At 51.8% G+C, this 27843-nt stretch overlaps 1 long non-coding RNA gene across 1 annotated transcript, besides 2 other annotated features; it reads right to left on the bottom strand.

Moving 5' to 3' along the window:
- Positions 1 to 259: 259 nt before the first annotated feature.
- Positions 260 to 27291, bottom strand: LINC01397 (long intergenic non-protein coding RNA 1397). The gene is made up of 4 exons (NR_126382.1): positions 27127 to 27291; positions 951 to 1134; positions 566 to 680; positions 260 to 374 (listed from the first exon to the last, which is right to left on the bottom strand). It is a non-coding gene; the product is annotated as a long intergenic non-protein coding RNA 1397 (long non-coding RNA).
- Positions 7804 to 7913: an enhancer, noted in NCBI's record as "active region_1461". NCBI's record gives its function as "activates an Ori minimal core promoter by ATAC-STARR-seq in GM12878 lymphoblastoid cells {active_cell/tissue: GM12878}" and the evidence as "EXISTENCE:reporter gene assay evidence [ECO:0000049][PMID:35858748]".
- Positions 25294 to 25343: a silencer, noted in NCBI's record as "silent region_1167". NCBI's record gives its function as "represses an Ori minimal core promoter by ATAC-STARR-seq in GM12878 lymphoblastoid cells {active_cell/tissue: GM12878}" and the evidence as "EXISTENCE:reporter gene assay evidence [ECO:0000049][PMID:35858748]".
- Positions 27292 to 27843: the final 552 nt, after the last annotated feature.

The following is a 27843-nucleotide window of genomic DNA, read 5'->3' as shown; positions in this document are numbered from 1 at the left end:
CCACCAGTCCCACCGCCTTGGGTCCATTCATACCACAGCCAAGGGGATCTTCCCAAAATAAAAGCAAGGTTGTGTACTCCTCTGAGTAACACCATCCAGTTTAGTTTCCTCTGCTTTTGGAATCAAAACTGACCTCCTTGGCCGGGCTCTGCTTGTCACCCAGCCTCGTGCCTCCCCACTTGGCATCCTCCACCGTAGCCACACCAGTCTGCGTTTCCTCTACTTGCTTGTCCTATTTGAACTCTTCCAACTCATCCTTCAAAACTCAGGTTAATGCATGCCTATAGTCCCAGCTACTTTGGAAACCAAGGCAGAAAGATAGCTTGAGCTGAGGAGTCCAAGACCAGCCTGGACAACATAAGAAGATCTTGCCTCTAAAAAAAAAAAAAAAAAAAAAAAAAGAAAGAAAGAAAAAAGAAAAGAAAAAAAAAAGAAAGAAAAAGAAAGAAAAAAATTCAGGTTGAAAATCACCTCCTCCATGAAGGCTTCTTTGCTCTCCCCAGCCCTGGGAAGAGATAATCCCACCTCCCTCCATGCAACCATTGCTCCCCTTGAACTTACTTACGTGAATGCATCTAGCACACCTCATTAGCTCTCAGAGACTGGGACTAGGTCTTCTCTGCCTTTGTGTCCCACGCTTCCAACACAAGCCTGGTACACAGAATGCCTTGAATACCCGCCTGTCAAATGAAGAAGATAAAATTGAGACACATTGAGCCATCCAGGGGCATGCAGGGCAGGTCCAGTGCAGCAGGCTGTGGAAAGACATAAACCCGCCTGCAGCCTCTCTCTCACCCCCACCTCCTGCCCTAGAGAGATGAAAATACAAAATTACATAAAAAATCAATCAGAAAGTGAGGCCAGTCTTTACCAAAGGATCTTCTATAGCATTTCTTTAAATAGCCAGCTCCCCTGGTGCATTTGAAATAAGATAGAATTTGTAAATGTACCTGTACATACAGTGTGGGGGAGACCTGTGGACTCTCTTACTGCAGGGCCTCTCTGCAGAGGGAGCAGGGGGATGGATGAGGTTTCTCCTTGGCCATGTGGGCACTCCCAGCCTCTAGAGGGGAGGACTCAGTGGTGGACAAACCATCAGATGGACAGGATTGGGGCCACACCATGGGAGATGTCCTGAGCAAAGCAGAAAGATGAAAATCAACTGCCTGCCTCCAGCATCTCTTCCTCAGACCCATCCACCCAGCCAGACACTGCCCAGGACACTGGAAGCCACTGAAGAAGACATATTGGGCCTGGGCTTCTAGAAGCACATGAGCACCACAGCTCAGGCTTTGTTTCTCCCAGACCAGCGGCTGCGTGCAGGCAGGGGCCCTTGTGACTGGGGCTTAGAGAGTCATATCTGCTGGGCCACACTTTCTAAACCAGGCTACCTGTTCTAGAGAGTCCTAGTTGGGCCATGAAGATAGAAGCTTCAGAATTAGTGGTGCCCAGAGAAGCCGAGAGAGATGGTCACTACCCAGCTGCTGTGTCTGTGCCCAGGAGACCCCATTGCCTTTCCTAAGGGGGACAGTGGGGGCACTTTGCTGGACCCTCAAATCACATTTGGAGCCTGGAAATTTTATGTTTTCCCATGTAATTGCTTGTGATAATTATGCAATTAGCATTAGAAAATGTAATTGTGTAATCGGAGCATGCAATCAGACAATGATTGCCATAATTAGGGGGGAAGATTATTGGGAATGAGTGGGTCTGGTGACTTGGGGAAAGGAATCAATGTGTGCAGACAGTGCTGGATAGTATTAGGCTATCTTGAAAACAACTGCAAATGCAATTTGTGTCACTGGGAAACAAGCACAATGTCCGGCAGGGAAGATGGATGGGCGTGGGAGGGTGCTTCGGAACAGGTCTGTGAACATCTGGGTTCCTCAGAAGCCCTTTGCAATCTCCTGAGCAGACGGACTGGACATTGAATGCTGAGGGTGTGAACTCCTCAGGATAAAAGCCAAGTGTCCAGCTGCCGGCCTGGGGCCTGCCTTGAGCAATCCTGTTCCTTGAGCCCCATTTTCCTCCTCTGTCTAACGGGAGTGTGGTCACTGCCCAGCCTCCCTTGCAGGGTTGCTGTGAGGGCCAAAATAGGTAGGCCATACCCCCAGGACCTCACACAGCATCCAACCCATGAAGACACCCAGACGTATAGATTTAATTGATAAATGTAAACGGCAGCTCTTACTGTCACCCCTCGACAGTGAATGAAGATCCCACTGTGCCTAGAACTGTGCCCAAAGTGTGAATCCCCACAGGCCGGGGTGGGCCCCACTGCTTGCACAGGTCGGCAAGCAGAGGCCTTTGCTGACTGCTGAGAGGGGCCCCAGGAGGTGGGAAGTTCACAACCACTCCCAGGGGCCACAGGAAAGGCTCATATAGAAGATAAACTATAGCCTCTGCCCACCTCACTCCCTGGAAAATGATGAAGTTATTGCACTTTAATGATGTCAGGCTGGCCTTCCAAGGAAGGTGCCTGGGATGGAGCAGAACCTGGGGAGACAGAGAAGGAGAGCAAAAGCAAGACAGAGAAACGGAGAAGGAATGGAGAATAAGAAAGCCGAGTGTAGGAAGTGCTTGGAAAGGGGTGAACAGTGGAAGGGACACAACGGAAAGGGGATGGGATAAAAAGTGCAGGCAGGGGAGCAGCACCAGGGAAGAAGGTAGAAAAGGAAAGAACTGGGGTGGGCGCGGGGTGGGAGAAGCAGGAGCATGAAGGGACAGTTCATGCAAACCAAGTGCAGTCAGTAGCGCTACAGGCCTCCCTTCTAAGAACACAGTCCTCCCCGCTCTCCTTACAGTCTGCAAATGGTTCACGGGGAAACTTTGGTAGAGAAAGTGGAATCTGGGAAGCTGAGAGCACAAAGCTGTGGTCCCCAGCATAACCTGCTGCCTCCAGCCCATATAGCCGCATCACTCAACAGTGTGTCTCGAGCGCCCATGATGTGCCTGCACCTGCAATGGTGAGGTGAAGACTGGCAGGTCACCAGACACAGCCCTGTGGCAAGGGCTGCCCCAGGCCCACCACTATGCTGCTGGAGACCCCACTCAGCCTGTGCCACCTCCTGTTGCTGTCATCAGGGACCTCTTACCCCTTTGAGGAAGAGGGCTGCTTTGTGCCCTGTCAGGCCTAGCATAGGACAGGACCGGCAGCTCTTTAGGTGGCCCCTGACCCAGGCTGCCCTCCATAGTGCCTGGCACATAGTAGGTGCTCAGTAGGTATGGCCCACTCCCTGCCTGTCATCCACTGGCTGGCATTGGCTGTCTCAGCAGCTGCACCAAAATGGGTTTGGGGCTTCTCCCATGAGGGCCCTAAAGCCTCCTCCCTTCCCGGGTCTCAGGGAGCCGAGGCCCAGGTGAACCTGAGCCTGGGGCCTGCAGGGCCAAGGAGCTGGAGCAGGAGGAAGGCAGCAGATCTCATGGGGCCACAGGAGCCCAGGGGACATCACTTACAGTCCCAGCCCTCTCTGGCTGACAGTGGGTAGTCCAATATCTGAAAGGCCTCAGTCCTCACACCAGACAACCTAAGTCCTGCCCTGTGCTGGTGTCCCAGAGCCCTGGAGAAGTCAGACACTGGCTGGGAGCAGATCAGAAACCTGGCTCCAGAGACCACATGGAACTCACAACTGCTGGAAAACCTCACCGGGCTGTAGCCTGCTGTGACCACTAGATGTCACTGGTGACCTCACCAGCCAGTCCAGCAGCTGACACCAACCAAGCCAGCCTGGGGCCTGGGCACAAGGTCTCACGTGGAGACCAGCCCCCTCCTCCTGCAGATCACCAGCCATACTCCTGCCCTCCTCTTCGGGGTCGTGGTCTGAGCACAGACATCGCCTGGCCCTGAAGCAGGAACAGGATAGTAAACTTTACTATGGAGGCAAAGAAGTTCTAACTCCAGCAGGAGGTGGGCCCTGATCACAGGCTTCACCTGGGAGGGAGCTTGGGTGGGTGTGAAGGAGGAACAGGAGTTGCCCTGATGAAGAAGGATGCCCTGACTGAGGGCCCAGCACACGCAAGTCCATGTGGAAGTGTGGGACTCGGTGAGCTGGAGTGCAGCAAAGGAGTGAGAGGCGAGGCAGTCAGGAAACAGGCAGGGCCGTCACCTTCACAGAAGAGCTCTTTCCTGGAGCCAAGACTTCTGCATCCCTGCAGGGCACAAGCACAGGAGTCCCCAAGGAGCAGCCCACAGCTATCACTCACTCTGTCTTACACACACATGCACACGCACACGCAAACGCACGTACACACATGCCCTGCTAACCTAAGCTGGGATCAGCAGGGGGCTTTCTTTCCCACACTGTCTCTGAGCTCCACTGGGGCTCTCGGAACACCAGGACCCCAGCCAGTGTTATGGTGCCAAGAGTGAGTTTCTCCCTCCCTCATGGCCTTCTCTGGTGTGCCCTGGAGGAGACACTGCCCATGGTGTGGCTGGTGGCCCATCATCTCTGTTAAGGGTGCTTTAATCATGATCAACACAGGGGCATCTCCTGTGCCCGTCTGCACTCTGGGCTGTGTGATTTCAGCTGGCAAAAAGTAGTCTGCTTCAACCTGTAGCTGTGGGACTGCCATGCATTTAAACATACCAAACAGGCTGGGCGTGGTGGCTCACACCTCTAATCCCAGCACTTTGGGAGGCCAAGAGGCAGATGGCTTGAACCCAGGAGTTTAAGACCAGCCTGGGCAACAAGGCGAAACCCCATCTGTATAAAAATACCAAAATTAGCAGAGCATGGTAGTGTGTGTCTATAGTCCCAGCTACTGAGGAGGCTGAGGCAGGAGGATCGCTACAATTTTATCATCCTGCCTCAGGATGATAAAAGTGCTGGGATTATAGGCATGAGCCACTGGCCTCCATGTGGTTCTTGAGTACTTTTTTCCCTTTTGTTTCCTCTTAAAGTGCTTCCTGAAAAATCTACAATTTTATCTTGGTTGCAAGAATAAGGAAAAAAAAAAGATTTCTTCCCATCTAGGCCAGATTAGATGGAGAAGCAGAGGGCCTCCTGGGCCAGGCAGAATGGTAGCTATATTCTGGACATTCTACAAAGGTCCAGCTGAGGGCCTAGACTTGGCAGGCACCCCCCCTGGGAATGGCTTTGATAAATGTTCCCCTTCCTACAGGGGTGACTGCTTCCTTGAAGATCTGTGTCATCAACCAGAGCGACAGGAACCCTCCACCACGTGGCAAAGATCAAACACGATGCATTAAAAGCCAGGACCAAGAAGGGGCCCACAAAGCCCTGCCCTGAACACCTCCTGCTCTTGCTGGTCTTGCAAGTCTACAGCCAGGTGTGGGTGGAGAAGCCAGTGGCCAATCTAAAGATGCTGCCACATGGATCGTGCAGGACCAGAGAGAGTCCTTGTTGCTCCTGGCGAGATACAAAGGCTGGTCTTTCACCAGGGCAGCTTGTGCTAGCCTTTCAGCCTGACTCTTGGCCTAAGGGTGCTAAGGCGAGTCCTTGGGTGAGATTCCTGCTAACAAGACCCCTTCTGTCAGTTGAGGAAAGCAGGCTCCTGCCAGAGAAGATGACATGGAACAAGCTGCATGACATCTGCCCCAGAGGAAGCCAAGACCAAAATGAAGGAACAAGGGAAAAAGAGTGAGAAAGCTGGGAACAGAGTAAAGCTGGGCTTGGGGGAACTGAGCTACCTGTAAGACAGATCTCTGTTAGGGGAAGAGAGACTAAACTACAGCTGAACAGAACAAGGGGCTAGTAAACTTGGATTTGACTTAGGCTTGATTAACCCCAAGGAAGTCCAGTTGGCAGGTGGGATGTTGGGTTAGGGTTACAGTTAGGGTTGGCCTATTATTTTGTTTGACTTCCTGCTCCTCTAGCTGGTAGCACTAGCCACATGCAGCCACTCATCAGAACAAGCTGGAGCCAAAAGCAAGAGGGAGAATATTTAAATCCAGCCAACAGCTGATTGGATGGTCCCATGAGCAGCATGGACTGTATGGAAAAACGGGTCCGATCAGGGGCTGCCTCAAGCTCCATAGCAGACCATCAGAACTACTTCAGTGGAGTCATTCCTGGTATCAAAACCCAAGTGACTACCTGTTGGACCAGCAGCCTCATATCCTAGCTGATGGCCATCCCAGGGGTCACCAATATGAGCTTCTGCCCTGAAGTGCCTCTTCCACTGCAAGAATATCACACTGGACTGACTACCTTTTGTACATTAAGTTTATTACCTAATAAATGCTCCTAGGACCCACAGACAAGTCACCCCATTACTTTCATTAACAGGGACCTGATTAAGAGTTAAGTGTCTTGGAAGGGACAGGACTCATGGTAAGGTGGGAAGTATAGAGCATCTGGCACCAGAATTGGGGGTGGTAGGGGCTGGCAAGAATGTTACGTGGGGTCTTTGCCCTGGAGAGAACTAGAGAAAGACAAGAGAGCCAGCTGTCAGCCCTGCCTCTCCTTTGGCCTCTCCAAAATACTGCCTCCCTTTGTCTCCCACCCAGCAGAAGCGTGGACCCCAGATTCAATAACTGCTGGCCTGAAGCTATCTCTGGCATTTGCAATTGGCCTGAACACAAGGTACTCAAAGGAGGCCTGAGAGGCAGTGGGCATGGGTCAGGTGATGGGTGGGTCTGGCTGAATTGAGGCTGAGGGCCAGTCCCACAGCCCAAGCTCTTGGCACCAGGTTCCTGGCAGGATGGCAGCTGCCCATCAACGCCAGACTCTGTTGGGAGTGGTGCATCTGCAGTGATGTCCCAGAGGCCAGGAAACAAGGTGGGAGAGTCATGTGGGGTGGCCCTGGCCTCCCTCCCTGCCTGCTGGTAGCCCAGTTGGGAAGGAAGAAGAGCCCTCCAACCAGGATGGGGCTGCAGGGAAACAGAAATTAGCACTCTGCCTCTGGGTCCTGACTAAGCTTATGTGCCAGGCATTGAGTCTTCAGAACTGGGACCCTCCAGCCCCTTGGCTGGGCAAAGGCAGTTGTCACGGCCAGACCGGATTCTTTACCAGACAGGAACCAACGGCCCTAGAATGGGATCTGGTAGGAATCACATAGGTTAACAGATAGGGTCTTCTGTCCAAGCTGCTTCAGGGTCTCAGAGTGGTCAAGGCAGGAATCTCCAGAGCTATCCAAAACCACCGTGCACCCCCTCAAGCTCCCACTTACACCTGACCCCTCCCCTACTTCTCTGCAAGGGGTGGCATCTGAGTCTGGAATGACTAAGAATTACATTTAGGGAGAAATTTCTGATATAAGGCTGGGGATGTTGCTTCCTGCAAACCAGAATAGGTGACTGGATGGTCCTGCCGTAGCCTAGACTGGGGAGTCACAGGCTGTGAGTCGTGGATTGTCAGAGACAACGGCGAGCTGAAAAAGCAACCCCCTACCACACCCATCAAGAAACTGGGGCCCAGAGAGGTGACTTGCTAACTTCATGCCTATTGGGGAGGGGTTTACACACCAGCAGAGCCCTGGGGAGAATGCTTTCCGGGAGAGGAGCTGGCCCAGAGCCCAAGGAAGTGAAGCAGGATGGCCGTGAGGAGCCAGGCATGGGGAGTGGTCCCCAAGGCCCCAGCTAAGTTTCTGGGCCCCAGATGAAGAGTGAATCGCTGGTTCTCCTTGGAGGGGAGTAGTCAGTCACCCTGTAAAAGTTTATTTTTATACATGTCTGATGTATTTCACATCCGCTCAGATATTTTGACACACACACAGGAAATGTAACTCTCCCCCATATGGCAGTGTTTGGTTGGCCGGACCTGGGGAAACTCAATAGGGTCACAGAGGAGCAGAGGGGAACTGCAGCATCAAGGAAGAATGCCAAAGGCCTGAGGCCATGATGGGCACTCCTGGCCGGCAGGCTGGAGACGGAGGTCACGGTGAGGCCAGTCCTCCTGCCTGGATACAGAGCCCTGTATCCAGTCTGGGACCCCAGACTTAGGAGGCCAAGTGTGGCTCTGGTTGCTGCTCCCCAGGAGGGAGGGGAGATCCCTATGAGGATGAAGAAGGTCCGGAAGAGCAGCCAGAGTGGGCCACCAAGGGCATGGGCTGCAGGACAGACAGAGACACGCAGGCCTGAGCGACAAAGACTGGGGCGCCTCTGACATCAGCTGGGAGCAGGGATTTTCTCCATGTTCCAGCATCCCAGGAGGAGGAGATCAGGGAACCTACAGCTCAGATGAAATAAAAGCACAGGGAAACAGCTCTGGGCTGGACCCCACCTGGCTGGAACTTTCCGCAGTTACCCAACTTCCTTGAGCCTCAATTTCCTCATGTATAAATTGGGGTGGATATGACCCAGCGGGTAGACCAGGAGGATTAAAGGAAAGAATGTATGTGCTGCTTCTTGAAGAGGGCTGATAAAGAAGAGGTTGGCAGGTGCCAGCTCTCCCCATCCTGAACTCTAAACTGGGGAGGATACGAGCATCTCCCTGGCAGGGCAGAGCGAGGGTGAAAGGGGGCCGTGTGCGGAAATCCCCCTGCATCCTGCCTGGCTCCGGGGGCAGCAGTGAACACTGGCACTGAGCTCAGTCTAGGAGAACCCATGGTCTGTGACACTGTGACAGGCCCAGTAGGGTGTAAGTGCAGGCTGCTGTGGAACAGCAGGGAAGGGCAGCTTCCTCCCATGACACCGAACAGGGAGGGTCCTCCTCTCCCAGAAAGAAAGTAAAATATGCAGCTCATAACTCCAAGAGGGAGAGTGGGCTGGAATAACACATTGATTGTGTGGAGCTTTTTCTTCTTTTTTTGTAATAGAGACAGGGTCTTATTATGCTGTCCAAGCTTATCTCCAATTCCTGGGCTCAAGGGATCCACCAGCCTCAGCCTCCCAAAGTGCTGGGATTACAAGTCTGAGCCACTGTGCCCAGCTTTTGTAAGTTTAAATTAATGGATATCACATTCTTACAGGGTGTCACGATGAGGCAGGTCGATGGATGGGCATCCCTAACTCACAGAATCGAGATGGGACTGACACCTGGTCACTCCCTGTGATCCCTTGGTGCTAGCATCAGGCACAGGGCACGGGAAAGACTTGCCATGGAACAGTTGGATTCTCCTAGTCCTGCACGCTTACAATGCATACGGTAGCCTGGCCTCCGCCTCGAGAGTTCTGCTTCTGTCTTGACACCTCTTTCCCCCTAGCTGTAGACACTGCTGGCCTGGAATATGTGCTTGCTGCCTTGGTCATGAACGTGGCCCCAGGGGGGTGGTTCAGGATCTTAAAGCATCAAGGAGGAGCCTCACAGTCCCTCCTTGGTAAATGGAGTGTGACGGCCAAGAAGTTACTAAGATATCCCCTTCCTCCCTTCTCCCCTGGAACCCAGAGAGTAGCAGCTCCAAAAAGCCCAGGGAGTGAGCTATATCTGCAGGTAGAGGCTGCACGTGGCTCACCTTCCCCCATTCCCCAGCCCATGTCCCTATAAATCCTGGCGACACAACAGGAAGGCCCTTTAACTAGCACATAAAAGTGCTTTGGGCTTTCAAAGACCCTCTCTGTTTACAGGGAGCCCAAGATTTTTATGGGCCATCTCTAGTCCCCCTTCCTCTGACCTGCTGACACATCTTGGTTTCCAGCTGTGGTATGGGGAACTATCACAGCCCAAGCCAAGTGCCCTTGGGGTGTGGAAGGAGGATGAAAGACCCCTGGAACTTGGGAGGCAAGGATGACCAGTTAGGCTGACCATGCATCCACCCGTTGTGGGCCCAGCATATGCTAGGGTCCCACTGATTTGCCCTCTGTCCTTCTCGTGGGGCCAAAAATAAGTACCCACAAAATTGTTATTTATCATTCAACTGATTTGCAGCCACAGTAGCTGTAGCTCAGTCTTGGAAGGTGCCCAGTAAACACCTCTGAACAGGTGGTGAGGGTCCTGTCCTGAGAGGTACACAGGCCATTCTGGAGGAGGCCAGGTAGGTGAACTATCAATGCCAGCATTTTCTTTAGCCTTGAAAGATTATGAATTTACAGTTCTATGAACCTACTATAAACCTACTGCCCAAGAGAGATTTTCCCCAGCTGGTCCTCTGATGCTAGCTAGTCCAGAAACCTCTCGCAGGGATCCTGACTCGAAGTGCAAGGCAAGGGTGGAGGTGGAGGATTGGAGGTGGGCAAGAGGCTGTTCCAGTGGATGGGGGGAGAAGAAATCTTATGTCCTGGTGGACAGGAAGAAATCCTAGCTCTGCACATTCCCAAGGCAGTCACTGAGGCCCCTCACCAGCAGTCCCCTCTCTTTGGGCCCCTTCCCATCTTTCTCCCACCACCCCCTCCCCTCTTCATCCTCTTATCTAGCTTGCTTTCTTCTCCTCCTTCCCTCCCTCCCTGCCGGCCCCCTCCCTCCCTCCCTCCCTTCCTGGCAGTTTTTCCTGTCCCTCCTCACTCTTCACTTTTCATATTCTTTAGTCTCATTCCTCTTCTCCTCCAAATCATTCTATTTTTTTTTTTAACTTTTCTTTTTCTCCTTTTCCTTTTTACTTGCTTTAACTATCTCTTCCCTCCTCTCTTGGACAAAAATGTCTCTTAAGGTTTCAGTTAGCAATGAAATCACACAATTTTAAGATCCAATCAATATGTGCCATGCCCAGTGTTAGGCACACTCATGCTTGTTATTATATTTTTAGAGAGTACTTTTAGTATAGTCTGCAATACGATGCAGATACTGTTCTTGGTGTCCACGCTGTAGGTCCATACTTCTCCACAATGATACTATGAGGTAGGTACTAATACCACACCCACTTTACGGTTGGTGAAACTGAGGTGCAAAGAGATTAAAGAATTTGTCCACAGTCACACAGCTAGTAAGTGGTAGAACAAGATTCAAACCCAGTCACTTGCTGAGCCTCCAGACTGTATGCACCATCGCACACCCTCTCCTCCAACTCAGAGGCCTGTGAGCCCTGCCTACAGGATATGAAGGTGTCCATGGCACATATCTGAGTCTGTGTGTCCTGAGGAACCCGAAGGCAAAGTGTTGAGGAGGGATGTCATGGGAAGGGGTCGACTGAGACAAGAAGATCCTGTCTTTTTCCCAGGCAAGAGAGAATAAAGGCCTCTATTGGGAGCCCCCACCCCTGCTGGCTGTTCCCAGAAAGGCGTGTTGCCCCCGCCTCTGGGAAAGCCCTAGAGAACTTCTGACCCTGCTACTCCCCTGACCAGGGAGCAGCAGCTGAGTCATACCCAGGGAAGGGCCCATCCACCTCTGCCCATCAGCACCCCACTTGGATCATGGCCTCCCCAATGCTGGGTACTTCCTGGCAGGTACCTGGCCCTGCCTCTCCCCTCTGGCATAGTGAGGAATGTGCTTCTGTCATCCTATCCTCCCTCTCCGACCCTAGCCCAGCACAGAATTGGATTAAGAACAAAAATATGAGCTATGTTTGTTTTAATCAGCTTCAAGACATGGGGGCTTTTAGAGGAAAGGAGAACAGGCCGGAGCTGGCCCCAGGGCAGGCAGGCTGGGCGGTGATGCCATCCTGGGGTCAGGAGCACGCAGAGCAGTGAGTGCATCTGCAGGTCAGATCCTGGGCAGATAAGGCTGGGGGAGAGGACCTGGGGCCAAGGGCGGAGGGAGGATAAAAAGAATGGGGAGGAGGGAGGGAAGACACGGGTTTTCCTGAGAGTCAGAGGGACCAGGGCTGCCCACAATCCCTGTCCTGGAGTGAGGCAGGAGGGGAGGTCACAATGGGAAGCCATGGGATACCCCAGGGGCCTAGAGGAGCCAGTGGAGAGTAATTTTCCAGAGGAGGAGATACCTCCTAGCCTTTGGAATGAGGGATGATGGGAAGGAGGTGAGGGGGGGCATCAACGATGGTATCCACCACCCAATGGCAGCCCGATGGCATCTGGACTCAAGCTCTGTGCCTAGATGTTCTGGCACCGAGAGGACACAGCTGAGTAAGCTGAACACACAGAATCCAGTGGAAAGCGGAAGGTGTCAAGGCCAGGTTGAGGGAACAAAGGCATGGTAGGGCAAGAGGCTTGCAGAAAAACTACATTCCTGGGCAGATCTCAAGCTGGATGAAGACCTGGAGGCTGTGGGGTGTGGAGGAGGGCTCTGAAGTGGGAGCCAAGAACCCGGGCCCCACCATCGACTCTGTATCTGCTGCTAGCAGTGAGTCTGTCACTATTCCTCTCTAGGCCTTGGTCTCTTCACCCGTAAGACAGAGCAGCGGGGTGTAAGCTAAGTGCTCTGGGATACTGGAACGTTCAGTCACTTCTTAAAGAGCCCCCAAAGCCATACATCTGTACATTTGCTACATTCATGGCTATCCTAACATTAGCTCAGTGAGCCAAGGAAAGGGACCCAGAGAGGTTCAGGGACTGGTCCAAGGTCACACAGCCAGTGTGAAAAGCAGCTGGTACAAATGCCCATATCCAGCCAGTGCCCCAACCCCCAGGGTGGAACGGCCTTGGGTTAGTGTGAGGGTCAAAGGATCTGGATAGAAACAATGATGTCATACAATTGAGGACAGAGCTCCTAGAGGCCCTTCCCGGAGCCCTCCATTCCCTTACCAGGCACCAGGAGAAGGGCCTGGGTTGGCTCTACCCATACCCCAACCTGACTCCAGTGCTCTGGGCAGCCCTTTCCCAGAGGGGACTGTATGCAATGGCTGGGGATCCCCACCTTAGACCAGAGCATGGGCTGCTTGGGACAGACCTGGGTCTAATTCAGGCCCACAGAAGTGTTTTGGTCCATGATAATGCTTGTACCAGTCTGAGGTGAAGCAGAAAAATAAGTAGCGAATCCTCTGTACAGCTACATTTTATGCGTTTTAGTTTAAAAATTTGAAATGATATCATTTCTTCTCTCTCTTTTTTTTTCTTTTTTTGAGACAGAGTCTAGCTCTGTCGCCCAGGCTAGAGTGCAGTGGTGCGATCTTGGCTCACTGCAACCTCTGCCTCCCGGGTTCAAGTGATTCTCCTGCCTCAGCCTCCCGAGTTGCTGGGATTACAGGTGCCCGCCACCACACCCTGCTAATTTTTGTATTTTTAGTAGATAGGGGGTTTCACTGTGTTGGCCAGGGTGGCCTCAAGACAGGCTCCCACCACCTAGGCTGGAGTGCAGTGGCACAATCACAGCTCACTGCAGCCTCGACCTCCTGGGCTCAGGTGATTCTTCCACAACTACGTTATTTTATTTGAAGACATTCTCATCTAGCATGAGGCACAGTCCAGAGTGCTGAGTGACATAAGTACTTAATAAATGTCAGGACCAGGCTGATGGAATAAAGGCCTGGTGGGGCAAGAGGCTGGGAGAAGACTGACATTTTTGGGCAACATTATACCTGGAGTCAGCGGGGACTTGGATTGGGAGCTCTAGAATCTGGAACCTCAAATGGGCAGGCCTGAGCAAATTACTTTATGTTTAGCCTCAGTTTCCTCTTCTGCAAAAGGAGGAGACAGGACTATAAGGTGACCTCTGAGATGAATCCCAGCAGCAGCATTCCACAGCTGAGCTCATGGAAAACAGGTACTGGACCCGTCTCAAGCACTGAGCACACAGCTATGCCCCAGGCAGAAGACTTCTGATGAAGGGAGGCAGGGGCCACACTTACTCAGCCAGCCTATGCAAGAGAAGTTCTAATAGCAACAACAACAAAGGGCCTGCCAACCAAGAGAAAAGAGCTAATCTGACATCAGCCAGGACTTGGGACCAGACCAAACAATGGCCCCTTGCCCACTGTCCCAAGCCTCTGGATGCATCTCCCAGTCCCTCCTGGCCGAGACCAGTCTCATTTCTCAGAGTGTCTCCTACAACTGTGAGTCATCTCCCCTTCCCACCTCCACCGTAGGTAAGTCAATCCAATCCAATGTAGCAAACCTTGACTTAGCCCCTGCTCTGTGCCAAGGGTGGGGGACACATGCAATATCTAGGAAAAGACTGAATATATTAGGGATACAAAATTTACATTTTGAATCTATGTATTCAGTGTATCTACTGCATCCAAACCTGTTAAGAGGCAATTAGACTAAATAAAATATCTCATTTGGGGTATGCTGTTATGTGTACATTGACAAATCTCCCAAGCTCACATTATTATAGGGTGAATGTTTGGCCCTAAAGCCAGCATTTTCTTCATTACAGCCTCTCTCTCCTCTATTATATAAGTTTTCCAGTCTGCTTCCCCCGCTACATTATGGGTCCTCCAAGAACAGAGATTCTGTCTGGTATATAGCACAGCTCCGGGTACAGAGAGCACACAGATGCAAAGGGAAAGGAAGCAAGGTAGAGATCACACACGAGTGTGACCAGCCTCTATGCTCAAGGACCAGTTCTTAGAAAGTAGCCCTGCTGACCTTAAGGGGGATAGAGAGGAGAGAGGAGACCCAGGCCCTCCCCGGGAGAAGGTGGGTGCCCTGCACAGATCTAGCAACTATGCAAAACCAAAGGCAGAAGATGTGAACTGCTGGTCATCAACGGAGCCTGAGATGAAGACACTTCCCCGAATGCTGGTGCTAGATTAGAATGGGGAGGGGAGGGGAGGGGAAGGGGTGAGGCCCTTCTGACTCCACCCCAAAGCAGCATCCTTACATCAGTATGGGGAGGGAAGGATGAACTTGCCCAGAGCAGGACACTGCCCACCCAGGCACTGTCTCCCAGATGTGAGTGTTTCTTTCCAGCCTTGGTCCAGTTATGAGGCAGGAAAGAGGTGTCTCTGCCAGGGTCCTTGGGTGCAAGAGGAGTGGGCACAGTGGTCTCCACTAAGCGTGGAAGGGGCAGGGGTTCATGGGGTGGGGGCAGTGGCAGTCCTCCCTGCCCCCTCGAGCTGCGCAGCTCTGCACTTTCTCAGCCCCATTCCCCAGAAACCGAAGGACACTCACTGCTGACACCATGGCATTGGGTTTCCCCTGGGCTGGCTCAGGCTCCTGTCACCAGGCATGGCAGGAAATTGCTGCTGACACCTGGGGAAAGGCCCCAGGAGTGGGGAGGCCAGGGATTGGGAAGTCTGAGCCTGTGAAGTTCTGAGTGAGTGCTAAGTGGGGCTGGAGCAGGGGAGATAGCTGTAGGTCTGAGAGGGATTCTTGCCATGCAGGCTGGGCCCCTGAGTCTCTCCATCCTCGTCCTGCCCCTCCTGGGATATCCCCAGGAGGCTGGAGAACCTTGGAGCTTGTGACCAGCTTGGCCACATGGGGTGAGTTGGGCATGGAGGGGAAGGGGCAGCATCATCTGAGGGCCCCAGGACTCCTCCACATCCCCACCCCCAAAGTTGTACAAACTTGCTTCTCAGCCTCCTTTAGGGCAAAGTCAGGGCTGCCCCATGCTTGCTGGGCCACGTGCACAATCAAAGGTCCCCCAGTAGCTTTAACCTGCGGAGGATGGTGTCTTTCCCTGGCCTGGCTCTGCGTCCTGGCAGCCTGCCCCGCGTCCTCAGCCTGGGTCTGTACTCCAGCCCTTTCTCTCTCACTTCCCCGCTGTCTCTCTTCTCTGGTGTATTTGTGACGATAAAAACATGCCCTGGCTCCCAGGCACCTCTGAGCATTTCAAAGATTTGGAGAGAAACTACAGAGGGGGTTGGGGGTAAATGGCAGAAGGTGGGGAGGGATCCTCAGACGGGGAATTCAGGTCACCCAACTGTTACCACCCAATCCCTGTTCTACACTAGGAAGTGTGTGTGCGTGTGTGCACATGCATGTGCATGTGCATGCATATGTGTGTATGCATGCTAGTGTGTGTGTGTGCACATGGATGGAATGACCAGGGACACAGAGCACTCTGGGGCTTTCAAGTGCAATACTTATAAGAGGCTGAGCCCAACCTGCTTGCAAAGAACCATCTGTGGATTTCTCTCCCGTCTGAACTGCACCCATCCCCCTAGATGAAAGCCCTCATTCCTAGGCTGTGACATCCCCATAGCTTTGAACCTGGACTGCCCCAAGCAGGAAGATGAGGAAGGTCAGAGGTAGAGGAATGTGGGGACGGGCCGCCAGATGGAGATGGAGCGCGGGAGGGTGATGAGCGTCTGAGTGAGAATGGGCTGGTTACAGTGGGAGTCCACCCAGGGACCCCCCGAAAGCGAAGGACAGTTCCTGGTACAAGGCTGGCAGCCCGGAGCATCTAACCTCAACATCCAGCAACTTGGAGCCTCCTCCTTAGACAAAAAAAGCCCAATCTCCAGAAACTCCAAGGGCAGCGATGCACCATCTACCACTGGTGGTCAACCCATCAGCAGGTGTTCTAAACACCTGCCACAGGCCCAGCGCTGTGACAAACAAGCAGGATTGTCCCCAAACAGCCCACCTCTCCCTCAATCTAGGAGACTAAGGAAGGTACTGCTGAGGTAGGCAGGGTAGGGGGTGAGGGCTCTAAATTGCTGCTTCCCAAATTTGGTATTAACAGATTTTTTTTTTTTTGAGACAGGATTTTACTCTGTCACCCAGGCTAGAGTGCAGTGGTGATCACGGCTCCCTGCAGCCTTAAGCTTCTGGGCTCAAGCCATCTTTCCATCTCAGCCTCCTAAGTAGCTGGGACTATAGGCATGTGTCACTATACTGATTAAAAAAAAAATTGTTGAGACAGTTGCAATACTATGTTGGCCAGGCTCGTCTTGAACTCCTGAGCTCAAGTGACCTGCCTGCCTCAGCCTCCCAAAGTGCTGGGATAACAGGCATGAGCCATTGCGCCCAGCCGAGTCCATGAAATATTTTAATTTTCTTTTCATTGAATCAAGCAGAAGCATTAAAGAACAAAAAAATTAAGGTACTTCAGCACTTTTTAAGAAAACAAACAGGATTAGATAAAAGACAGTCTTTCCCAATGTCGGTCAATAGTGACAGGGGTTAGACTAGGAGTTACTTTCAAGGGAACTGACTGAAGTGATAGGAGGCAGCCTGGGGCACATTGGCCAAGTTCTGGCTCCAGATCTGGGAGGTGGATACACAGATGTAACACATGCAGATATTTGCTGAGCTGCGCAGTTGGCATCAGTGCACTTTGCTTGCATAAGATGCATCTCAATGAAAAAGTAACTAGAGGCAGAAGTCAGACATTAAGCTCATGGACCCAGGAGCCATATGTCATGGATGCAAATTCTAGCTCTACCTCTTAGTATTTGTGCAACTTTGAATAAGTTACTTAACCTCTCTGTGCCTCAGTTTCTTCATCTCCAAAATGAGGATAATAATTGTACTTACTTGAAAGAGTTCTTGTGAGGAGCAAATGAGTTAACACATGTGAAAACCATCAAATAATGTTTGGCATGCAGTAGTTACCAGTAAGTGGTTCACCATTATTATTCATATTCCAACCAAGTGTAGCTGATGGGCAGAGCCATGTGAGGATCAGGGGAGAGTGGTCCAGGCAGAGAGAACAGCAGGACAAAGTCCCTGAGGTGGGACGGAGTGTCAGAGCTGCAGAAAGCAGCCAGCCTGGCTGGCTCAGACTGACTGGCATGTGCTGAGCCAGGACAGAGGTTGTGAGGTGAGGAAGGAAAAGCAGGCAAGAGTCATAGCATGTAAGGAGACTGGATTTTGTTCTGAGTGTCATGAGAAGCCACTGGGGGATTTTGAGCCAAGTGGTGATACAATCACATTTAAGTCTTCAAAAGATCACTCTGGCTTTGGTGTGTGGCAAATGGGGAGGAGCAGGGAAACCAGCTAGGAGGAATTTGGGGTAGTCCAAGCAAGAGATGGTGGAGACATGGACTGGACCAGGAGGGCAGCAGAGGTCAGTGGATTCTGGATATTCTGGGAAGGTGGAGCCAACAGGACAGATGATTGAATTGGATATGGAGTGTGGGGACAAGAAAAGGGACATGTAAGCTTTTGGGCCTGAGCATCTGGAAACTGGCAGTGCCTTTAACTGAGAAGTGACCTGAGAGAGCAGCTGGTTTGTGGGGGAAATCAAAGTTGCTGCTTTGTTTGAACAGGTTAAGTTTGAGATGCCCACTAGGCCTGCAAATGGGAAGGACCAATGGACAGCTGGACACTCAAGCCTAGAAGGCAGGGGAGCATGTGGAACTGAGAAAATCATTTAACAACTGTCCACAGAGGAAGCGTTGCTTGAATTCCCTGCATGTTCTCATGCTTGGGGTTGTCGCACAGTCATTTGGGAAAATTCTCTGCAGCTCCACTGAGGAATGTGGAAACAATCCTTCTAGGGTTGCCTCATTAAAGATGGAATATTCTGGGCAACATCAGCACCCCCTATCTCCAGCAACTCCATTCGTTTTCCCCTTATGGGTTGCAGAATGTGGCTGCAGTGAGCAGATGTCTGATGGCAGGGTGCTCTGGAGAAAGGACAGTCAGGAATGAGCTGAGAGGGACACTTTAGGTCAGTGGCCAGGGAAAAATTCCTTGTGGAGAGGCCCAGGGAACCCCTCAGTAACCCTGGGCAGAACTTGAGATAATCTTAGCTGGCACCCTAAACACAGAGTGAGAAAATCATTCTTCTCCCGTCCTCTTTCCTGTCTGATTATAATGTGCCCTTTAAATGATAGCTACATCTGGTCACCAAAGATATGGCACATGGGTAGGGAAGAGGTTAACGTCCCTCTAACACTTGGTAACATTCCTGTTTAAGAAAGCAAACCTGAGACTAAAAGGCTTCCACAGGCATCTCTAGCTACAATATAACATTACTATGTTTCATGTATTTTTATAGCTACTCTGTTAATAATGACTGTTAATAACTACTGGTGTTCCATTTATAGTAAGGATGTAAATTTTCCTTTAAAAAGATGTGTGTGTGTGTGTGTGTCTGTGCATGAGTTAAAGAAAAATGTTAATGATACAAGTGACACTCAGATGTGGCAAAAATCATGAAAATTACTCAAGTCACTAAAGTCTGAAAAACACAGCTCTAAAAGATGCTAAAACAAAAATATGAGCTCTGCCTGAAATCCCAGCACTGGAAGGCCGAGGCAGGCAGACTGCTTGAGCCCAGGAGTTCGAGACCAGCCTGGGAAACAAAGTGAGAACCCCGTCTCTACAAAAAATACAAAACATAGCCAGGCATGGTGGCACGTTCCTGTAGTCCCAGCCACTCAGGAGGCTGAGGTGGGAGGATTGTTTGAGCCTGGGAGATGGAGGCTGCAGTAAGCCAAGATTGTGCCACTGCACTCCAGCCTGGGCAACAGAGTGAGACCTTGTCTCAAATATATGTGTGTGTGTGTGTGTGTGTATATGTGTGTATATATATGTATACACACATATATATACACATATATATATGAGCTCTGAGCCTCATATTCATATACAAATCTCATAATCACTCAAGCCACCCTAAGACCAAGGATGGAACATCCCCCTTCCCTTCACAGCTCCCTGCAGGCTGCAGGTGGATAACTTGCCCTCTTCCAGGCCACTTTGGGATTTGCCGTGCAGGGATTTCACCAAAGGGAAAAGTTCTCTGATAATTCTTACCATCTCAAGGCCACAAAATTGATGTTGTTAGCAATGGTATCCCTCTAAATGCTGCAAATCCATGAAATGACTTCTGAATCAGCAAAGATTACTGATTACTCTTTTAAAGAATAGCTGCAACTGATCACATTCTGACGGGAGTAGAAGTTCTGGACAGCAGTGTTCCCAGATGGTGCACTCTGCAAAAATGAGTGGGTTTTGGCACGTTTCAGTGCCTGGCCTAGGGCCGACCCTGAGGGGTCTCTGAGTCTTAGGTGGTCCACACACAGAATTGCCTGCCAGAGTCAGATGAGTGCACCCGTGTGGGGTCCACAGACACAAGCAGAGACAAAAGCTCCGGAGGAATGAGGTCAGGAGATAATCAGATGCGACTCCTGCGGCCTCTCCAGGACCCTGTGGAAGCCCCCACAGCCCTTCTCAGGAGACCTTTTGGCCCAGCAATGTTATACCAAAAGTAGGAAGTGTGGGTTCTGGGTTCTCAGCACCTCCAGCTGCAGCTGGGCTGAGGAAGGCACAGCTGTCCTGCCTAAGGCTGTGTCTCTTGTGAAGGAGAAACATCCGGTCAATTCCATCAAGAATGTCAGTCAAAATCCCAGGGAGGGATCAGTCAGCTCAGCCCTCCTATCCAGCCAGCTTTTGTGCCCTGGGAGCAGGCCCCTGGACTGTCCTCAGCCAAGACAGGAGAGGCCCATCTCCCAAGGGCTATGGCCTTGCTGCCCCTCATCCCACACTCCTCTCCCACCTAAAGCTTCGGGCTGGTAGCCTGCAAGTGAGCAGGGGTTGATGCAGTGGTGCACAGGCCCCCGCAGGATATGACCCAGGATGTGAGGACCCGCAGGCTGGAGGAGAGATATGCAGAGGTGAAAGGGCAAACCTGTTTCCAGTCTCCTTATCAGGAGTAGCCGAGTGAAAGGGAAGTGGCAGCCCCGGAGGTCAGGCTGGGGGGTTGTGGCTGGGGCAAGGCTAGGCTAGGTCTCCTGAGAGGAGACCCCGCTGGGCAGGGAAGAAAGAGAAAGGGGGTGTGGAGGAAGGGCCAGGGAGGGAAAGGGCTGGGAGCACTGACTGTATGGCCCATTCCCAAGGGGAGGAGCAGCAGGGTGACCAGCCACCCAGGCTTGCCCCAGACTGAGAAGCCTCCCAGGACACAGAAGTTCCCATTAAATACTGGGATGGTTGGTCACCCAGGAAGCAGCCCTGGCTAGGGGACTGTCAGAACCCAGCCACCTGCACCCCCTCCAGAGTCCCAGGCTCAACCACCACCTTGTCTCAATGCCTTCTTACTTCTCCCCCTTAGTTATTCATTCAGCAAACATTAACAAAATGCCTACTGTGTGTCAGGCCTGCTGCCAGGCTCTGGGAATTCAGCAGTGAAACGACAGGCATGCTCTCTGCTATCCCAGAGCTTGGAGATTATGCTTCCTTCAAAGCCACAAGGGACACTTACTCCCCTGCTGCCTGCCCCACCAGCCCATCCCCCGGGGCATGTTTCTAGGGAGCCCTCCCTCAACAGTCTTAGGTGGTCCACACACAGAACTGCCTGCCAGAGTCAGATGAGAGCACCCGTGTGGGGTCCACAGACACACGTGGGGATGGTGTCTAAATCACTGTCCCACCTGCCATGGTGCCTTGCATAGGGCCCTGTGCAGGGAGGTGCTTAATACATGTCTTTTGGTTGAGGAGCTAAGGTGTTGAGGGCCAGCTGGAGATGGGGGTCCCTCGGTCACCTGTCAATGCTCGCAGCCTCCCGCCACCACTGCCAGCACCCACCCATATGCGCAGGGCACGCCTCATTGTCAAGCAGCATTCTCCCTGCCCCAGCACAGTGGGGCTGACCTGTCCTCTCCTCAGCTGGGGAAAGTAGGCAGGCCTGTGGGCAGACCCCAGTCTAGCGTGGGGGTGGGGGTCCCCAGGATGGAGGAGTGGGACAGGAGCTGGTTTGTCTTCCCTGAGCAGAGAGGCCTTGGCCTTGGGCTCCAGCATCCTGTTCCCTCAGAGGTCCCACATGAAGAGAAGCCACAAGAGTCAATATGCCTCATGTGTGCCTGGGGGCTTCTTGCGGAGGCAGAGCCAAGCCTAGGCTCCTTCGGCCTCGGTCCTTGCCAGTGGAGAAGCCAGTGGGGACCCTGGGCAGAAGCTAAGTAGGTGAAACACACAGAGACGTGCTGTGGGGGCAAGGAAGTGGAGCAGTGCTGGAAGAGACTTGGGGTTCCAGCTACAACTCCAACAGACTCCTCTCCCCAGTTAAGGAGTAGGGGATTGTATCATTGAAGCCACTGAGGGACCATAAGCTTCTTGCAGGTGGGGGCCACAGGGCAGTGCTTACAGTAAGCTCTCCACCCTTTATGTGGAAAATAAGCCTGGCCCTCAGACAGCAGAGCCCCATGTTTCTGTCCTGCACCCTGGTGGCGTTTTATCATATTGCAACTCATGGGATATTACAGAAGAGGGAGTATGAGCTCAGCCCAGTGGACGCCCGTCTTTGGGGTCTGGCTTTGAGATATCATTAGGATGGGATTCCTGAGTGTTCTGGGAATAGCTGGAACCCAGCCACTCCCAACCAGCTGGGGCGTGGGAGAAAAGAGCAGGACTCGGGAAGACCATGCCAGAGAAAAGGGTAGCATGCGATCCGGTACACTCTCTATCCACAGGCCACAGACACACAGGAAAGGCACAGAAGACACCCTGGGACAGGGTAGGGGGACGTGGTGGAGGGCGGGAGGGGTAAATGGAAACTCAGGTGTCCAGAATTGGATTATGGCTTAATCATAGTCTTTGGTTACTGACAGGCTCTCAATCTTTCGTTAAGTATTCACTTAGGTAGTTTTCATAGTGCACAGGCGCCTGTGAACCAGGCATTATTCACTTAGCTTTCATAGTGCACAGGTGCCTGTGAACCAGGCATTATTCACTTAGTTTTCATAATGCACAGGTGCCCGTGAACCAGTGATTATTCACTTAGGTAGTTTTCATAGTGCACAGGCGCCCGTGAAGCAGGGATTATTCACTTAGTTTTCATAATGCACAGGCCCCTGTGAACCAGAGATTATTCATTTAGTTTTCATAGTGCACAGGTGCCTGTGAACCAGGGATTATTCACTTAGTTTTCATAATGCACAGGTGCCTGTGAACCAGGGATTATTCACTTAGTTTTCATACTGCACAGGTGCCTGTGAACCAGAGATTATTCACTTAGTTTTCATACTGCACAGGTGCCTGTGAACCAGAGATTATTCACTTAGTTTTCATACTGCACAGGTGCCTGTGAACCAGGGCTTTTCCTTCTTTCACTCTCTCTCTGCCACAAAACCACCCTTTTCGTCCAAAGGAAACTCCTCATGGAAACCCAGTACATGAAAAATGAAAAAGTGAAACTGGTCTGGCTGAAGTGGAGGTGGGGCCTGCCCACTGTCTACTTGGCCTCCCCGTCCACTGCCCCAGCAGCCCTGACTAGCCCCTGGCAGATTTGTGGAATGCGATCTACACCATCAGGAGCCAGGAAGGCAGGAATCTGTTTCCTCCATTCCTATGCCCAGTGACCAACACGTGCCCAGTTTGGTTACTCATTTCAACAAATGTTGGGTGAAATGTACTGAAGGAGATGAACTTGTTCCAACCACCACTCAGGTCAGGTTTGGGGAGGGGGCACTAGAAAGTGTCTCTGCCTCAGGATATCCTCCCCATCAGCCTACCACAGTGTCTAACATTCCCCATCACCATGCAGCCTAACCCTGCATGTCCTTCAGGACCCAGAGCAAACACTACTTCCTCCACACAGCTTTCTCAGATGTCTCCAGCCAGAGTCATCTCATTGCCCTTGAACGCTGTAGCCACTTGTTTATCTCTCTCTCTCCTGCATCCTTCACACTCACTCAGGCTTCTGCCTAAGTTCCTGACATACATGTCTCATTTCCCCAGTGGTGTAGACACTGCACAGCTCCAGGGTGGGAGATGTTTAACTGACTTTGGCATCCATCTCAGTGCCTTCCCATAGTAACGTTCCATAAATGTTTGAGGAAGAAAGAAAGGTCTTCTGGTGCTCCTTAGGACGCCGCTGTGTCTCCAGGAGAGCAGCTGGAACCAATTTGACCTACTATGACATTAGCATGAAGTTTATATACTGCAAACTGTCACCATGCAGAAAGAATAGAAGGGGATCCAGGAAAAGGAAGATTTGGTGAAAAGAGACATCTAGGGCTCCAGTGGTACCACAGCTGCATGCACAGGATGGGTCTCTGGCCCTGTGAAAGAGTCAAAGTGTGGCTGAGGAAGAGCTGGCAGTAGGGGTGGCAGGAGAGACGAATGCTGGAGGAGGGTCTCGTCCTGCAGCACTTGAGTTTGCCTCCCCACGCCTGTTTCCCGTGCCTGGCAGGCTGGGACAGAGGGAACTGGTTCCCTTTTTCTCCCCCAGAACATCTGGGGCTACATCAAACATAACAATCTGGTAGAGAAAATTGTTATAGAAATATGTAACTGTGAGACGTTATCAAAGGCGTTTTTAAAGTCCCCTTCCAACCCCCAGCCGGGTGGAGGGGACTGGAAATTAGAAAACTGGGAGACGATTACAGGACCATCAAAGTGGCCGAAATTCAATCCAATCTTCAGGTTTAAGTATGGCTAGCAGACCCCTGCCCCAGCCCAGAAGGCTGCAAACCCACTGTTTAAAAACCAAATCAACAGCATCATCAGATCCAGGTCTGGAGCAAACAAACGGCGCCCACAAAGGCTTCCCTGGATTTTCCTTGCACTGGGGAAACCTGAGAAGCAAGGCCCTGGGGAGGTGCCTGGTCGTGGGGAGGCTCCCAGTTTCCAAGGCTTCTATACTTTCCTCCCTCCCCCTAGTCTGGGCTGGGGTTCTTTATCTCTTCGTCTCTCTTGATGCTTTTCTTCTCCCACATCTTTTTGTACCTACTCTTTCTCCTTCCATTTGTCTCTTCTCCCGTCCTCTCTCTTTTTCTAACAGTATTCCATCTCTTTCTGTCCTTTTTCTCTGTACTGTTTCCCTCTCAGAATCTTTTATTTTGTGAATTTCCATCCCTTTTGTGTATTTCAGCATTGTGTCTGTCTTTATATTTTGTATTCTTTCTCTCTCAGCAAGAATCTTCTTTCCTTGGCCTCTAACTTTTCTGCCCTTTTTCTGCTTGTGAATTTCCTGCAACTTCAGACTGTGGAAGTGGTGAAGGTCCTCTTCAGCTGGTTTATTTACCAATAGGAGTCCTGGGTATTTTTCCCAGGTGTCCAAACATGAATGACCCTCTATGTCCACCCATCTAGGGACCCTTCTCCCAAGGTCCATCACCAAGAACTGTCCAGTGCCTCGTTATAACTGTGCCAGCACATGCAGGCACAGAAAATAGACATGTGGTCTTACCCATGAGCAGGCTCTGCAGGCATGGAAATTTGTCTGGAGGGGTGGAATTCTACAGGACATAAAACTGATAACACGCAGAAAACGTCCACAACTTACAACTCTTTTTTATGTGGGATGAAAGAGAATATAATTTTGCTACTAAAAAATTCTCCTTGTTAATCCTCAAGATGTGAGGTTTTATCTCCACTCACATTTCTCATGGCCATAACCTTGAAGGCTCTGTTAGACTGCAGGTTTATAATTTAAAGAGAGCCCACTCGCACATCTGACTGGAAACCCAGAGGAGTTTCATCCCGTCCTGCAAAAGTTGTCGGTGATCACGCGGTGTTAGAAGAAATCTCCATTTCGAGTCATTCGCCTTGAAGAATCATTCTGAGAAAAGAAAGGGAACCAGCACGTATGTTTTATCAGAATGGCCTTGAGAAAACGAAAGCACACGCAGGCACTGCGCCGCACAAGCCCAGTAGGGCGCGGGAACCCGATGGAATGCGGAACGTCGCTGCTCGGCAGCTCCCTACGGCTGGCGGCTGCGACCCGCGTGGGCCGCGAGTTGTGGCGGCGGGTTCCGGGGCCCCCCCACAGCATCCGTCCTCTTGTCCCACCGCCCGTCGGACAGTCGGTCGGTCTTTCGTGGCCCCGCGCGCCCGCGCTCCCGGCTCGTGCGTTTCCTTTGCTTGCTGCCTCCGGCTCCGCTCCCCGCAGGCCTGGCCGCGCGACGGGCACCCAGCGGGTTGTTATCAATTATTCAGGCCCCAAGTTCACGGGCACTGCATCCATTTCCCTCGCGTGCGCCCGGGGCCAACTCAGGCCGCAGGTTGCGATGCTCGAGCCCTTGGACCCGGCTGGAGAGAAGAGCGCAGTGAGCGGCAGCGGGCTGGACTCCTGGGGCTTCCTGAGCCCCGAGGCCCCCCAGCGATCTGGGAAGAAACCAAACGCCTGTTCCCTTTGATCTGGTTTTATAGAGACTTGAGGTTGACAATAAACTTTGCATGCTTACTAGCTATTTCGATCTTTTATTCCCATTTTGGGAAGGAGTCACCAACGCGGCGAACAATCCCTGCGGGCTGGCAAGGGTGTGCGGAGGACCCGTGCACGGGGATCTGCGCCCGGCCACGCGAGGGTGCGGGGGCGACGCAGGACGCACCCCCTTCCCCACATCCACGCTCAACTCCCGCTCGCCCCACATACCTCTCTCTCCTTCCCCTACACGCGCCCCGGACCTTTCCGCAAAGCGGGAGCGGGAGGCCGAGGAAAGGTCGCGGCGTGGCGGGGAGACTAGGGCGCCCGGAGGCACAGGGTGCGAAGCTGGAGAGGAGCTGAGAGCCGCCGCCACTGCCGCTGCCGCGCCTGGACCCTCCCTCCGCAGTCCCCGCACCCACGCCGAGACTCAATTACTTTCAGGTGTGGACCATTTAATAAAATAAATCTTCCGGGGCAGGAGGCAAGTTTTTAGGGGCCAAACTCAAAGCAGCCGATTTCTAATGAATAAAGAGGGGCTTCCCTAAAATATCATACGGTTTTGGCGGAGGGGGAACCGAAGTTGGGGAACAGGGAGTGTCTCTTCCTGAAGTGATACTGTCATTGGCTGGGTGGAGAGGCCCGGAGAGACTTACTTTCTGTCGCTTTCTGACTCTCCTTGTCTCTGTCTCCAGCCATCTCTGTTCTTGAGTACATCAGAATGGAATCAACGGTTTTTGCATCGAATCACCATTAAACCAGCCAGATCCTCCCCAAGCGGAGACCCAGTGAAACTGAAAGCTCTTTCCCTCACCTCTTTCTCTTTGTTTCTCCTTTTTCTCCATCATCCATTGCCCAACATTCTCTTCATCTGAGATTTCCAAACCCGGCTTTGCAATACTCCAGGGAGACTCCAATTTACTCTAGGGCTTTGGGAAATGCTCAAAATGAAATAAACTTTAATTGACTTTAATTATTTAACTGCAAGTTATAGACCCCTGATTGGTCAGGGGAAGCAGAGAGGATGTTGGTGAATCAAACAAACCATCCCAGGATGTCACAGCTCCCTGGAGGTGAGGAATGCTGGCTTCAGCATTTCGGGGCTCAGGAACGAATCTGGGCTCCGGAAGAGAAAACCAAGTTCCCAGGAGAGTGGGGATTTGATTTCTTAAGGTTTGGGGTCAAGGAAGGCTCTCACTGACAAGAGGGACTGGACACTCTGTCCTACCCTGGGCTGCCTCCCACACCCCCTTGCTAACCATCTCCATCCCGGTTTTTGGAGGATGAAGGGAGTGGGTTTCTTCCTTCCCACTGCATGTAAAATCCTTCAGTAAGGTCTAGTGACACTGGACAAACTGCTTCCTTCTCTGTTTGCTAGAAAATTCAGACCACAACACAACTTTTGTATGAATTTCCCAGGAATCGGAGCTGATGTAAACACAGTCTATTATGGTTCTGCTCTTTTAGAAGAGTTACTCACCCCAAAGTCTCAGAGGGCTCCTTCTGCCTCCTCACACGGCCAGATCTAGGAAGCTGGTGGAGGGCAACTCACTCTGATGCAGCACCTGACAAGGGCCCACATGTTTCCCGTGCAGAGAACAAATTTGCCCCATTAAAGCGTTACTCTGTTGGGGAAAAGACTGATGCAATATTGGAAACATGCTGGGCCCACTGTGAGAGCCGGAAGAAGAGGCAGATCTTCCCAGGAAGGCAGCAAAGGCCAGTGGGCGAAACTATTCTTGCCACATCCACCCTCACTTGGCCTGGTAAATTAAGGGAGGGATTATTGACCAAAACATCTGCACAGAGCAAGACTATGGTGCTGGTGGTGTCATTACAGGGAGGGCATCTGGGGACAGACAGGGGAAGATGGTGCCAGTGTCTTGGGGAGCAGCCAGGGGAGTGTGACTTGTCCACCTGAGCTTGGGGCCAGACTGGAAAGGGACCATGTAGCTACCAAGTCCACTTCCAAGAGCCTGAACTTTAATGGAAAATAATTCCATAGTTTGGGTCCCAGCGACACTACTGATCTAAGTAGCTTATTAACAAATGGAAAATATATAAACCACACAACAATTGCCTCTAAGAAAAAATGTATTAAAATCCCCCCAAGTTATTTGCAAAATAAATAGCTGAGACCATATGGGTGAGGGGGAGAGTGGCTGTATCCTAACTAGCTGTGTGCTCTTGGCAAAAG

Source organism: Homo sapiens, chromosome 1, assembly GCF_000001405.40.
Source record: "Homo sapiens chromosome 1, GRCh38.p14 Primary Assembly".
Lineage (NCBI taxonomy): Eukaryota > Metazoa > Chordata > Mammalia > Primates > Hominidae > Homo > Homo sapiens.
This window is presented reverse-complemented; position numbering and strand designations above follow the sequence as displayed.